The following is a 16413-nucleotide window of genomic DNA, read 5'->3' as shown; positions in this document are numbered from 1 at the left end:
CAAAATGTATAACACAGTGTTTCCAGTGGATTCATAGACCCAGCCTGCAGTGAGTTGTCTGCTCTCCAGATGTATAATGTGAAGATATACTTGGTAACTTGGAAAATCCTTATTTAGGTTTCATGACCTGTGAAGCAAGATGAAATATTATAAGAAGGACCAAGTATAAGTACCCCCTGGTTCTGGAATAATGTCACCTGTTCTGCAACAGAACACTATTCAATGTTTGAAACTCTGACAACAAATTACGCTGTGACTGAAGCTGCCCATCATGAGGTGGCTATAATGAGTTCTCCCCAAACAGGAAATCAGGCACAACTAAAACCATTTTATTTGAATGGTGCATTTAAATTACCAACAGAGCAGGTTCAAAAGGCATGAATTAAAAGGTGACCCAAATAGCCATGTTACCTATATGTCTCACCAAAACCTCTTCCTCAACTCATACCCGTGGTCTCATGTAATGACCTGTTCAACAGTCTTAATGAAAAAGAAACAATTTGAACTCAGTCCACAAATGTGATGGTGCTATCTATAAGAAGACTGCATTCATTACTGTACCATTCCATTGTATTAGTACCTGGGCAAAAATGATATTAGTGTAAAGAAATATGGTAAGCAGAGCATGAAGCAATATATCCATTTAATTCATATATGGAGAGAAATACCTCACGTAAAAATGTGCATGGACTTCTGAGCAGTGAAAACCACCTTGTCTGGTTGGTAAGGAGCTAGACATAAACTGATTTAGAGGATAAAAGACAAGGTTGTGTGGGTAAGAATTATGTGGCTGGAATAATAAAATTGAACGGAAATCATACAAATAGTCTTGTCTAGCATTAATGTCCTCAGAGAGCATCCACTTCAGAGGGAATTCTCCAAAGCTAGATAGATAGAATCATTGGTTCTGTGGATGCCAGTTAGCCTCTCTTCTTGGCCATACAAGTGTTGGCTCAATAGGGCAATGAACATATATGTCATTGTAGCAGAGGAGAATCTACACATTAGTTTAACAGCCTGAGTTCCATCTTATCAAGGCTGATCTAGCTATTGCTGCTGCCAGCAGTTGAAACAAAGATTGAGCCCTAGACATGGCACAATTTGAGAAGACCTGTTATCTACTTGAAGATGTGACTCATCAGATCCCTTCCAACCTGGAGGGTGGAGCAATTCACTCTCACTCAGAAGTGCTACTTACTGCAAAATGAGTTTTCCTTCCATTAGCAGCACTAACATGTGGCTTTTTATAATAATTCATCTGTTGATATGTTATCCCATGCAATGTTGCCTCAGCCCAAAGGACAATTTCACAGCAAAGAAAATATTTCAATAGGCCCAAGTACTTGATCGTATACCTTATATTTAAGAAACAGGACTAATGATATGCCACAATGGTCTGTTAAAGTTCATTTAGGGTGTCAGCTTGAGGACAGCAATGTTTCAGAGTTAGGATTTTATTCTTAAAGGCATGTTAAATATGCTGAAATACCAGCTAATGTGTGGTACTGTGTTCTCAATAGCCAGGATTCACAGGTTTTTAAATTAAGAGGTAAAAGTTACAGTGGCCTTCTCTAGTAGTTGCTGTTGGTATATGTAATGAAGAGACTCAATTCATTTTTTAATGTTTCATTCTTGTTAAAAGTTGTTTTGCCCAGAAATGCCTGGAAGGCTATGCTCCGTTCTTGGACTGTCCCCTCACCAATAACTGAATGAAATGGGGTTCAGAAGTCCAGCCTCATTTCTTCTAAATGAGACAATTTTGTGGTACCATAGAGTTCCTTATGGAGTCAGGCTAAGGCTAGACTTAAGCTAAACACACTTCTTTGCCTAGCTTCTTTCTTTGACATACTCTCATTCCTTTACATATTCTGCATTAAGAGCAAACATTCCAGAAATCTATCTCATGATATTCTCATCTCAGGCTCTGCTTATTTGGGCTCTGAACTAAAACAGTTAATAACACAAAGGATCCTAAGAAACAGACTCTAAGAACAGGATCCTAGAGTTGACTCACTCTCTGGCCATATAACTGAGGACCCCATTACTGGTGAAAGGTAAAATTTTGATGATCCCTGGCATGACAAAGTACAATTGCTAAAATGTTCACATTTAGTGAACTGGAAGGGGATGCACAGTTTGATGCTATAGCTCAGGCACTTGAGAAGTAGAGGAGGTTAAAGTCTGTGCCTACTGCTGAGCATCATAAGTGCTTTCTATAGAGAAAATACCTGACTCAGATGAACTGTTGTCCTATATAATACTCTTTGATAACATTTGAATAGATTCTTATTTCCTGGAACCAGATGGCAGGATGAGCTGAATTTGGGATGCATAATTGCAAGAATGGCTGAATTAACAGGAGGCTAGGTTTTCAGCCAATGTTGGCCCTGATATTACAATTGATTTAAATGAGCACTCTCAAGAACACTGAAAGCTCTGATTACACTGAATTTCCTGGGTTTTCAGAAGTTTCCTACTCTCTTTGTTAGATGATAGTAGACCCTGTTTTGATTGAAGACTAGACAGGTACCTTACAGACAATGCTTTTCTCCCTTACAATCGACATATCTCTCTTCTGTTGGCCACTATCAAGCTGGCTAACTGCACTGGTTACTAACTTATCTGATATCAGTGACACAGAACATCCATTCATGCAGTAAGTTATATAAACTGGATTTATTATTTATAGACAGGCAACAAGAAACAATGGAAGCATAAGATTCTTGTGAGCTGGTCCCCCAGGCTCCGGTAAACTGCCCAGGGTATCCCTACTCTGTATACTCTACTTGCACCACTACTGAGGAATTCCAAAATGCATCCCACCCAGGTTATTTACCTCAGGGGAAACAAGACATGCTGGGTGAATGCATTGAAGGACATGCTGTTTCTAAGAGAGTGGAAAACAGCCCTGGGCTCTTCTGACTAGTCCCTCCCCAGTCTCAGGATGTGGTATTCCCAGGATAGTCTAGTTATTCTTGAAAACTAAAAGCAAGAAACAGGAGAGAATTGTGTCAGTCCAAGTATGAAGCCACCTAGAAAACCGTTTAGCCACCAAATAAATAAATTGAGTCAAATCCAAGCAAGTCCCAAGAAGGAAGCACCAAAGTTGCTAAGGGAGGAGAATAATTATATTCCACAAGTCACGCCAGGTTATGGTTAACAACTACTGGGGAAAAAATGGGAGTGTGCCTACAAATAGATCCTGAGGGTGCTGCAGAAGGGAGATTTTTTTAGTGTGGGAGAACTCTCCCTTGCCACAAGATTTAACATCATTTTAAGGGCTCTGGGAGACAGTTGTAACGCTCTTTTCAGATGACTGATGGAAGCTTGGAAAATGGCTAGCACTCTCATTAGATTAGATGCTAAAATTCTCATGGTAAACCACAAAGGATGAGAATAAAGGCTCACAGAAGTGGGTATGCTAAAATGGATTTATTATGAAAGACCAAGATATCAGAAGCTGACAATATTCTTCAGGAGGGCTAGGAGGTTTCTTTGTTTACCAAGTGATAAGGTGCTGATACCAACTATGTTGAAAAATGAAGTGGCTGCTGTCTTCTATAGCCAATTGAATGCAATTTCTGCCTCTTTTAAATTTCCATAGCATTTGATTACACACGGTTTATATGAACCTAACTAAATCAAACATGTTTTATTATTATTTGTGTTCTTGTCTTCCTTATTCTCCCATTCCCACCTGTTTGACTCTGAGTACCTAGCACTATCCCTGTTACACAGTAACTATTAAACCCATCTTGGTCAAACTTTTAAACACAAAGTCAAATTATACCACCGGAAGCACTTAGCATATCTTCTTAAAAATGGTAGGTACTTTATAAATAATTGTGAGACTAGACTGAGGTTACATTACCAAATTAATCTTCCTATAATGCATTATAACATTAGTACCCTACACAAATGTCTAAAACAGTTTTCTATTAAGTTACAGAATAAAATTAAACTCCTGTGTTATAGTCAGAGCCTTACATCTGTTCCTAACTTCTACATATGCTACCAAACATTCTATCTAGTCTCAATGTTTAATTCTACTCTAAATTAACTTTGTACTTGAACCAATGAAACTTTTACTCTCCCCACTTGTTCCCTGCCCTTTGCCCTTTCTTCAATTTTGTGCATATTTATATTTTATTTTCATATTCATTATCTAACTAGTCTTGAAAAATAGTCAAGCAGGGAATTAATAAAATACTTACTTTGTGCCACATACACAGTACATTATTTCATGTGGCTCTATTGTATGAGTGCATGTGTGTGTGTATATTCCAAGGAGTTGGGCGGTGGGCAGAAGGAGCTGATAATCCCTATATTATTTCATTGCTATAATCTTTCTCTTTATTCTCATTCCAACTTGATCTCTTGAGACTGTTCTTTATTATTATTATTATTATTATACTTTAAGTTCTAGGGTACATATGCACAATGTGCAGGTTTGTTACATATGTATATATGTGCCATGTTGGTGTGCTGCACCCATTAACTTGTCATTTACATTAGGTATATCTCCTAATGCTATCTCTCCCCCCTTCCCCCCACCCTACGACAGGCCCTGGTGTGTGATGTTCCCCTTCCTCTGTCCAAGTGTTCTCATCGTTCAATTCCCACCTATGAGTGAGAACACGCAGTGTTTGGTTTTTTGTCCTTGCGACAGTTTGCTGAGAATGATGGTTTCCAGCTTCATCCATGTCCCTACAAAGGACATGAACTCATCCTTTTTTATGGCTGTATAGTATTCCATGGTGTATATGTGCCACATTTTCTTAATCCAGTCTATCATTGATGGACATTTGGGCTGGTTCCAAGTCTTTGCTATTGTGAATAGTGCCACAATAATCATATGTGTGCATGTGTCTTTATAGCAGCATGATTTATAATCCTTTGGGTATATACACAGTAATGGGATGGCTGGGTCAAATGGCATTTCCAGTTCTAGATCCCTGAGGAATCGCCACACTGACTTCCACAGTGGTTGAACTAGTTTACAGTGCCACCAACAGTGTAAAAGTTTTCCTATTTTTCCACATCCGCTCCAGCACCTGTTGTTTCCTGACTTTTTAATGATTGCCATTCTAACTGGTGTGAGATGGTATCTCATTGTGGTTTTGATTTGCATTTCTCTGATGGCCAGTGATGATGAGCATTTTTTCATGTGTCTGTTGGCTGCATAGATGTCTTCTTTTGAGAAATGTGTGTTCATATCCTTCGCCCACTTTTTGATGGTTTTTTTTTTTCTTGTAAATTTGTTTGAGTTCATTGTAGATTCTGGATATTAGGCCTTTGTCAGATGAGTAGATTGCAAAAATTTTCTCCCATTCTGTAGGTTGCCTGTTCACTCTGATGGTAGTTTCTTTTGCTGTGAAGAAGCTCTTTACTTTAATTAGATCCCATTTGTCAATTTTGGCTTTTGTTGCCATTGCTTTTGGTGTTTTAGACATGAAGTCCTTGCCCACGCCTATGTCATGAATGTTATTGCCTAGGTTTTCTTCTAGGGTTATTATGGTTTTAGGTCGAACATTTAAGTCTTTAATCCATCTTGAATTAATTTTTGTGTAAGGTGTAAGGAAGGGATCCAGTTTCAGCTTTCTACCTATGGCTAGCCAGTTTTCCCAGCATCATTTATTAAATAGGGAATCCTTTCCCCATTTCTTGTTTTTGTCAGCTTTGTCAAAGATCAGATGGTTGTAGATGTGTGGTATTATTTCTGAGGGCTCTGTTCTGTTCCATTGGTCTATATCTCTGTTTTGGTACCAGTACCATGATGTTTTGGTTACTGTAGCCTTGTAGTATAGTTTGAAGTCAGGTAGCGTGATGCCACTAGCTTTGCTCTTTTGGCTTAGCATTGTCTTGGCAAGGCAGGCTCTTTTTTTGATTCCATATGAACTTTAAAGTAGGTTTTTCCAATTCTGTGAAGAAAGTCATTGGTAGCTTCATGGGAATAGCATTGAATCTATAAATTACCTTGGGTAGTATGGCCATTTTCATGATATTGATTCTTCCTATCCATGAGCATGGAATGTTCTTCCATTTGTTTGTGTCCTCTTTTATTTTGTTGAGCAGTGGTTTGTAGTTCTCCTTGAAGAGGTCCTTCACATCCCTTGTAAGTTGGATTCCTAGGTATTTTATTCTCTTTGAAGCAATTGTGAATGGGAGTTCACTCATGATTTGGCTCTCTGTTTGTCTGTTATTGGTGTAGAGGAATGCCTGTGATTTTTGCACATTGATTTTGTATCCTGAGACTTTGCTGAAGTTGCCTATCAGCTTAAGGAGATTTTGGGCTGAGACAATGGGGTTTTCTAGATATACAATCATGTCATCTGCAGACAGGGACAATTTGACTTCCTCTTTTCCTAACTGAATACCCTTTGTTTCTTTCTCCTGCCTGATTGCCCTGGCCAGAACTCCCAACACTATGATGAATAGGAGTGTTGAGAGAGGGCATCCCTGTCTTGTGCCAGTTTTCAAAGGGAATGCTTCTAGTTTTTGCCCATTCAGTATGATATTGGCTGTGGGTTTGTCATAAATAGCTCTTATTATTTTGAGATATGTCCCATCAATACCTAATTTATTGAGAGCTTTTAGCTTGAAGTGTTGTTGAATTTTGTCAAAGGCCTTTTCTGCATCTATTGAGATAATCATGTGGTTTTCGTCTTTGGTTCTGTTTATATGCTGGATTACGTTTACCGATTTGCGTGTGTTGAACCAGCCTTGCATCCCAGGGATGAAGCCCACTTGACCATGGTGGATAAGCTTTTTGATGTGCTGCTGGATTCAGTTTGCCAGTATTTTATTGAGAATTTTTGCATCGGTGTTCATCAGGGATATTGGTCTAAAATTCTTCTTTGTTGTGTCCCTGCCAGGCTTTGGTATCAGGATGATGCTGGCCTCATAAAATGAGTTACGGAGGATTCCCTCTTTTTCTATTGATTGGAATAGTTTCAGAAGGAATGGTACCAGCTCCTCCTTGTACCTGTGGTAGATTTCGGCTGTGAATCCATCTGGTCCTGGACTTTTTTTGGTTGGTAAGCTATTAATTATTCAGGACATAGGCATGGGCAAGGACTTCATGTCTAAAACACCAAAAGCAATGGCAACAAAAGCCAAAATTGACAAATGGGATCTAATTAAACTAAAGAGCTTCTGCACAGCAAAAGAAACTACCATCAGAGTGAACAGGCAACCTACAGAATGGGAGAAAATTTTTGCAATCTACTCATCTGACAAAGGCCTAATATCCAGAATTTACAATGAACTCAAACAAATTTATGAGAAAAAAAAACCATCAAAAAGTGGGCAAAGGATATGAACACACATTTCTCAAAAGAAGACATTTATGCAGCCAACAGACACATGAAAAAATGCTCATCATCACTGGCCATCAGAGAAATGCAAATCAAAACCACAATGAGATACCATCTCACACCAGTTAGAATGGTGATCATTAAAAAGTCAGGAAACAACAGGTGCTGGAGCGGATGTGGAAAAATAGGAACACTTTTACACTGTTGGTGGCACTGTAAACTAGTTCAATCATTGTGGAAGTCAGTGTGGCGATTCCTCAGGGATCTAGAACGAGAAATACCATTCGACCCAGCCATCCCATTACTGTGTATATACCCGAAGGATTATAAATCATGCTGCTATAAAGACACATGCACACGTATGATTATTGCGGCACTATTCACAATAGCAAAGACTTGGAACCAACCCAAATGTCCAACAATGATAGACTGGATTAAGAAAATGTGGCACATATACACCATGGAATACTATGCAGCCATGAAAAATGATGAGTTCCTGTCCTTTGTAGGGACATGGATGAACCTGGAAACCATCATTCTCAGCAAACTATCGCAAGGACAAAAAACCAAACACTGCATGTTCTCACTCATAGGTGGGAATTGAACAATGAGAACACATGGACACAGGAAGGGGAACATCACACACCCGGGCCTGTTTTGGGGTGGTGGGAGGGGGGAGGGATAGTATTAGGAGATATACCTAATGTTAAATGACGAGTTAATGGGTGCAACACACCAACATGGCACATGTATACATATGTAACAAACCTGCACGTTGTGTACAAATACCCTAAAATTTAAAGTATAATAAAAAAGCAAGAAGAAAAAAGAAAAAAAAAAGTCAGGAAACGTGCTGGAGAGGATGTGGAGAAATAGGAATGCTTTTACACTGTTGGTGGGACTGTAAACTAGTACAACCATTGTGGAAGACAGTGTGGCGATTCCTCAGGGATCTAGAGCTTCTCTAGTTCTTTTAATTGTGATGTTAGGGTGTTGACTTTAGATCTTTCCTGCTTACTCTTGTGGGCATTTAATGCTATAAATTTCCCTCTGCACACTGCTTTAAATGTGTCCCAGAGATTCTGATATGTTGTGTCTTTGTTCTCATTGGTTTCAAATAACATCTTTATTTCTGCCTTCATTTTGTTATGTACCCAGTAGTCATTCAGGAGCAGATTGTTCAGTTTCCATGTAGTTGAGCAGTTTTGAGTGAGTTTCTTAATCCTGAGTTCTAGTTTGATTGCACTGTGGTCTGAGAGACAGTTTGTTATAATTTCTGTTCTTTTACATTTGCTGAGGAGTGCTTCACTTCCAACTATGTGGTCAGTTTTGGAATAAGTGTGATGTGGTGCTGAGAAGAATGTATATTCTGTTGATTTGGGGTGGACAGTTCTGTAGATATCTATTAGGTCTGCTTGGTGCAGAGCTGAGTTCAATTCCTGGATATCCATTTTAACTTTCTGTCTCGTTGATCTGTCTAATGTTGACAGTGGGGTATTAAAGTCTCCCATTATTATTGTGTGGGAGACTGTTCTAATGAGATGCCTCTCTGTCTCACTGCTGTGTCATTGGCTGAAAAATTCCAGAGGCACTGTAAGAACATACTCTGTCTCCATCTCCACTACCTGTGCCTCTGTTTCACTAGACACTGGCAATTTTTATCTGAGCTATATTGGGCTATGCAGTTCTAATGTTCGACATGGATATGGTTAATTATTCAATTTATTATACAAAAATAAAAATATAAAAAATTTGAAATATTCAAAATATGAATCATTCTTGGAACAATAATTAGACAAGAATTTATCCTAGACATCCTTCTAATAAAGATACCACATGAGGTAAGAAAAATGTCCCTGAACATTATTCTTAAAAAATAGCAATGAGTTACCTAGAGTTGATAATTTAAATAAAGATCCACATATCAGACTAATAATATTGCACCAAAGTATAGTTTAGAATATGTAGCTCTTTGGGGCCCAATGGGTTGCATTCCAATTACCAGCTTTCTGTTCATCTAATTTCACTTGGTACTCATACCTTTGTTGTTTATTCCTTAATCTCCTCCCGTGGTGTTACACAAGTATCTACTACTGCCCATCTACTTGATATATTTAATTTCCAGTAACATTTTTAGTTGAGTTTGGTAACTGCTTTTACAATGACCTTTCTTCAGGATCAACTCCAGTCATCCATCATAATTCAGCCTAAATCTAATCTCTTTGGCAACTTTTTTTCTTCCAGGTGTATTAATCTATTTTTTAAAAAATTGTAATTAGTATATACTATCTTAAGTCCTGAAAAGTGGAAGTAGCAATTATTGTCTTCTGAATTTCATTCTTTCAGTACCTTTTTCTCATTAAAATATTTCTATGCATGTCTGTATAATTGTGTCTGTTTTTGAACATATATTGTAAGCCTTTACAGAGATAAATATTAATAACGTTATTTTGATTGATTAGGGAAAGGTATGCATTTCCTCAAAAACCAGCATATCACTAGGGAAACCTTCCCCCAACTCTTATGCCTTTGGTGTTTCAAACATTTTTATAAAAGCTTTCAAGACCCTACTTCTACCGCTAGTACTACCAGTAGTAGTAACAATAGAGCATTAATAACACCTGCATTTAATACTTGCAAAGTGTCAGCACTATACTAAGAACTTTACATACATTATCTCATTTAATGTTTCAATAACTATTAGTTTGCTAATCTTATTTAATGCACCATTTTATAACTATGCCATATATAAATATAAAAATAGAATTATTCAAAATATATATCATTCTTGGAACAATAGGCAAAAATTTCTCCTAGACATCCTTGTAATAAGGGATGCTTAATGCTCAATCACATAAGCCCCATAACAAACATATGAGGTATCATCTCTCTTTTCCAGATGGGGGCAACTAAGTCATAGGGAGGCTAAGTAACTTGCCCGACATCACATTTCTAAATATGAAATTAGGTATTATATATATTATATATGGCATAGTTATAAAATGGTGCATTCCATATTATATGCATTAATATTATCTATAATATATGTAGACACGAATGTATATATTACATATGAACACCAAAATCTATTACTCCAGTTAAATATATATACATATATATATATATATATAGTCCAGTTGAGTATATATTTTCTATTTGAATAACATAAAGCTAAAATATACTACAGATTTACCTACTTTTATGTATTTTTTCTTAATTTTGGCTGTAATGAACACCGTAGAAAGTCATTCTTTCTTTTTTTTTTTTTTCCTTGTTTCATGCTTCTCTTTTCTTCTTTCTTGCTCTTGGGGAAAAACTCACACCATCCATCTCATTACTCACAAAATGACTTACTGCAGTAAGTTCTAAAAACTATATACTACATCAGGATCATTTTTAATCACATTTGAGGCAACTTTTTCTATTCTATTTGGTATAATTATATTTGCACACTGTTTAATTTTTAAACTAATTATGTAACAAAAATCCCATTAAAATTTACATTATTTTTCAAATATAATTTGAAAAATTAAAATTTGAAATATAATTTGAAAACCTCCAAAAAATTCCCTACTTGCTTGGCAAGTTAGTTTGTACATATCCAATTTTAGATGTTGAGCATCAGCCAGTTTAATATGAGAGGAGACAGATATTTACATGCTTAAAAATATTTTGCCAGATGTGCCCTGATTGACCAAAAAAGTAACATTTCATTTGGAGAAAATGTGATAGACTGTGCTCAAACTGTTGGAATCCTTACCCATCCTTCAATGGTCGCTACTTATTATTATTCAACATGGAAGGGTAGAGTTATAAAATCATTGCCTACAATTGACAACTTGAATATATAGTTATACAGCATGGGGAATTTTATCTGTATGTTAAGACACATTTACATTCATAGAAAATTATCTGACAATAGTAATAGAAGTCAGTCTTAGATCCAGGCCACATTGATATAAAAGTTTATTTAACAAGCAAACAAAGATAAGGAACTGAAATGAGAAGACTTTCCTAATAAGAAAACCATAATATCCTATCTCAATTTTTGCTACCTACAATTTATTCTCCTTAAACCTTTAAAACTAAAAGATAAATAATTCAGCACAGTACTAATCAGTGATTTCATCAAGTACATTAACTGCCAGGCAGAATCTGAGAAAACATATGGATCAAAAGGCAGATCACACATTAAATGCAATTTTCTTACTCTTTTATTTAATACAATTAGTGAAGTAAGTGTAAGATAATAAAAAACACACCTTGGATCTAGCTTATAGTCAGCACTTTGCGCCCCTCTCAGGCTGGTTTATCTATAATCTAGTCACAAACCTCCAACATTCAACTACTCCACATATTAAATGGGGAATTTCTTGCCACATACACAAAGGTTCTGATGCTGGGCCAGATAATTGATGTGAAGTGTTCTAATATGTTTAGAAGATAAATGGTATAGAACATGATAAAAATACTAGTTAATGCATATAAAACCCTTCCTAGATACAAAAAAATATTCTGTGTGCGTCAACAAATGCTCACTCACTTAAGCCCCATAACAAACATATGAGGTATTATCTGTCTTTTCCCAGATGGGGGCAACTAAGTCATAGAGAGGCTAAGTAATTTGCCCGACATCACACGGAAATATCAAGATCTAAGATCTGAACCCAGGAAGGCAGACTTTGAAGTCGGTACTCTTAAGTTACGCAAGACACAACTGTGGTTGACTATAGTAGTTTATAAAAACAACACTTCAAACAAGTATCATTAATTTTTATGTTCAGATGCCATAACAAGTATTAATAGTCTGTTTTTCAGAGGTCTAGTTATCATGTTACAAGGAGATAAGGCACAATCATCTAACTTTCCTTGAAGCTTGGTAATGGAGCTACATTCACATTTAGCTCTACTTTGTTAAATGTAATAAAGCTCTACTTTGTTAAATGTAAATAAATTTAGCTCTACTTTGTTAAATGTAATGATACTTCAAATAAGTATCATTAATTTTTATGTTCAGATGCCATAGCAAGTATTAATAGTCTGTTTTTCAGAGGTCTAGTTATCATGTTACAAGGAGATAAGGCACAATCATCTAACTTTCCTTGAAGCTTGGTAATGGAGCTACATTCACATTTAGCTCTACTTTGTTAAATGTAATAAAGGTATGACCTACCCATTAGTACCATCATCAAAACACACACACACACAAAATTAGATTTAGTGCTATCAAAATTGTGTTTTGGGCATTGAGGTTACCTTCCTTACGTAAATAAAATAAAAAATAAAATAAACAATAAAAAATAAAATAAATTTAAAAAAAAACCTTGCCGGGGATGTGGTCATTCATTGGTGTACAAACACTTCCAACGGGTAGGAAACAAGAAAGCAATGTTCAACTAATTGTTTGAAGCTAGCATGTCTTGTATACCCAAACCAAAATAGATACAGTACAAAAAAGGAATATTGTAAGTCAATCTCACTAGTAAATATAGATACAAATGTTCTAACTAATTATTGGCAAACCACATCTAGTAAAAGATAATGCATCATGTTCTAGTTGAGTTTATCTTAGGAAAAAAATTATTCTTAGAAGAATGCATGTGTGAATGTGTGTATGTACAATTTGTGTTATTAATAGAGGATCATTAATGCAGAAAATTTTAATTTATCACCCATTTATTATAAAAAACTCTTAGCATACTAAGAATAGGCCCTATGTTCTTAACCTTATAAAGGGCATATAATTAGAAGTTGCAGCAAATATCTTAAATAGGAAGAAGGAATAAGAATTAAGAAATGTATTCATTTACTATGACTGCTGTAAGAAATTCCGACAACCTAGGTGGCTTAAAACAGTAGACATTTATTTTCTCGCAGTTCTGGAGGCCATAACTTTGCAATGTTTATTACTAGGCTAAAACTACAAAGTCAACAGGGCTATGCTCACTCCAGGTGCTCTAGGGAACAATGTTTCTTAGCTCTTTCAGCTCATCATGGCCACTGGTATTCTTTGCCTTGTGACTGCATCACTCCCATCTCTGCCTCCTTGGTCACACTGCATTCTCCTCTTAGGCCTGAGTCAAGTCTCAGTTTGCCTCTCTTTTATAAGGACATTTGTGACAGTATTGAGGGCCCACATGGATAACACAGGACAATCTACCCATCTCCAAATCTTTAACTTAATCACAACTGCAAAGAACCTATTTACCAAGTAACATTCAGATTATATACATATATGACTGGAGAATGGTGAACTTTTGAGAGGCCATTTCAGTCTGAAACATCTAGGGGAAAAAATAACCTTCAAAAAGTAGCTCCCTAAATTCCCTTAAGAGTCTATTTTAAACCTGAGCACATCCCAGTTAGAATGCTGTCAGAATGCTGAATCTAACCTTTTCTACACAAACTCTTTTGAAGAGATTGCTGTCTATAGAAACTACAATGAAATGCATATCTATTACATTATAGGTATTTTAATGTTGCTATCATATTAAGTATCTTGAGGAATAACATTTTAAAATACAACAATATAAACAAATAAAACAGGATATAAGTTCCATGAGGTCAGAGTTTTTATCTGTTTTGTTCAATCTTGTGTCCTGGTGCCTAGGAAAGTATCTGCTTATTAATATTTGTTGAAGGAATGAAATAAACATACACACAAATATGGTCCAAGTTATTGCAGCATGAAAAGACATACAGAGGGTTGACATCTGTCAAGTAACAGCAGATAGAGTATACTGACCCATTACCCATAAGTGAGGGGATTAAGTATACACTAGTGTGTGTGGACACAGCCACTGGCCTGACATTGGCTTTCCCCTGTCATAGGGCTAACCAGCAAGCCCTAGAGACTTAAAAAAAAAAATTAAGTGTTAACGAATGACATGCCCCATAAAGTAGTGATTAAAAACCACTTCAAAGGACATGATATACAAAATGGGCATGACAAAATAAAGTCCTGTAGAGATTCCATCTACCTTATAACCCACATGCAACAGGGCTGATGGAACAAAAAACCAGGGTATTCAAACAGCAGATAAAAGCACTTATAGGTACTCCTAACCTGGCCAGGTAGATGAAAGTATTGCCACAAGCTACCCTGTTACCCCATTTGCCAGGCAAAGAAAGCTAGATGGGCCCTCACTAAGAGAATGGAAAACAGTGAGATACGTTCTTGCCTCAGCTGGCCCCTACTAAGTGCATTATGGTTATGCACACCCCTTGAAACATCCAACCAAGAGATGGTCTGGTGCAGTGAAAATTAGCATGGGATCCCCTACCAGGTTCAGTGGGATACTTCGTCCTGCAGGGCTGAGAACCACACCTTACTGACTTGGACTCTCATCGTACTGCTAGACACTGGGCTTGAGGTAATAATGTACCAGTGGAGAGGCACTTGCACTTTGCAGAGGGGAGAAGTCATCAGGTTCCTGGTCTGGCATATAAGCCCCTCTGCAGTCAGAATCCTCATGGGAGGCACGCCTACTTTCCCTGGACAGCACATATGGTATGTTTCTCCTGGGAAGCCACCCCAGCAGCTACTGTTTTGACCACTCAAATACAATCCACCAGTATAATCCTTGTTGAAGGAGATGATCTGCCTTCACAAATGTGTATTAGAATTTTGTTTCACTGCCTCTAGCTTCCTGTTGCTAATATGAAATGTAAACATTACAGGACATAGTCTAAAAAAATGTGTTCTTATATTGGGCTGTGTCCTATGCCCAAATGATAAATACATCAGCTTATTAGGCTTATGGACAGGTGCTGCTGTTAGGAATCTCTGTTCAGACATGGAGGCTAAACTCTTTACAGAAACTTTCTGGGTTGCATTACAGTCATACGTTTTGGGGGAAAAAATGTGAGTACTTGAAATACTGCAGATATTACTAGGTAAGACCCCATCCAATGGCCCATTAACGATACTTTATCAAACAAGGGACACCCCTTCCCACTCTCATGTAATGCCACAAAAATAAAAATTTTTTAAAGTCTCAAATAGCCCAAAAATCAGTAGTAAGTATTAACAAAAAATGTACACAGGTCTGAAATAAATGTATGTAAATAACCCCAGGCTATGAAAAGTTGAGTCAAGTTGTCCCTCTCTGCCGGAAAGAAAATCACAGCAAAAACATAATTCCAAAGACCACTCCATACACAGAGTAGTGCCTCCTTCCACCCATAATATCATGGTTACCCTGCTAAACCCTGATTGGTATGCCACTGACAGGGTAAAATGATCAGACAAACACTGGGTGGCCCCTAATGAAACATGGTTGCTGTGTGGTTCCAACCTGTAGGCCTGGCTGCCCCCAGATGGATGGGATGTTGTACCCTCTGGTTCTGCTGGGCAATGGAACAGTTATGGAATAAACTGACTGCTGCTGCCAATCACCCATAGCTCAGAGCTGGATGGGAGGGTGATCTGCCTTCTACTGGTATGGTCATATAGCTGCCCTCTTTAGTCCTCAAATAAGCATAAGAAATATAATAGCTCGTATAAAGACATCAACTAATCTCACTAGACGAGCTCTAAAGGACAGCAGACAGGACATTCTAGCATTCAACACAGAAACCGCTTTCATGTAAAGACTATGGCACAAGGCAGCATCTGTGCCATTATCATAACAGAATGCTATCTATATGTTACAAATAAAACGTCACCACTCTAGTGCAACACATGGCATCATAGATAAATACTGTAAGTGATGCCGCCCCATCAATAGTTGTCATATTGATTTTAAAATCTTAGTAAATTGATAAAACAGTTGCTAATCATTATTTGCTTACTTCATTGCTTTGCGTTTTTTCCTTATGTGTCTCTATTGTTGCTGTGAAATCATCCTGTAATGTGGCATCAAGTTGCCAATAAGGCTATCACCCTCACTATAGAACCCATAGTGATACCCAAGGACTCTCATGGGGAGGAGGTATTTAAAACTGGAGGGTGATCATGAGGAATAGAGTGTTGTGAAGATGTTTTCTGCATATGTGACCACGAAGTGGAGGTAGGATGCAGCGACTGGAAGAAACATACAAGCATCAATTGCTGCTGCCCATAACATTCCCCCACCTTAGGAATGTTGGACAGATT

This window comes from Homo sapiens, chromosome 11 (genome assembly GCF_000001405.40).
Source record: "Homo sapiens chromosome 11, GRCh38.p14 Primary Assembly".
NCBI lineage: Eukaryota > Metazoa > Chordata > Mammalia > Primates > Hominidae > Homo > Homo sapiens.
Note: the sequence above shows the minus strand (reverse complement) of the source record.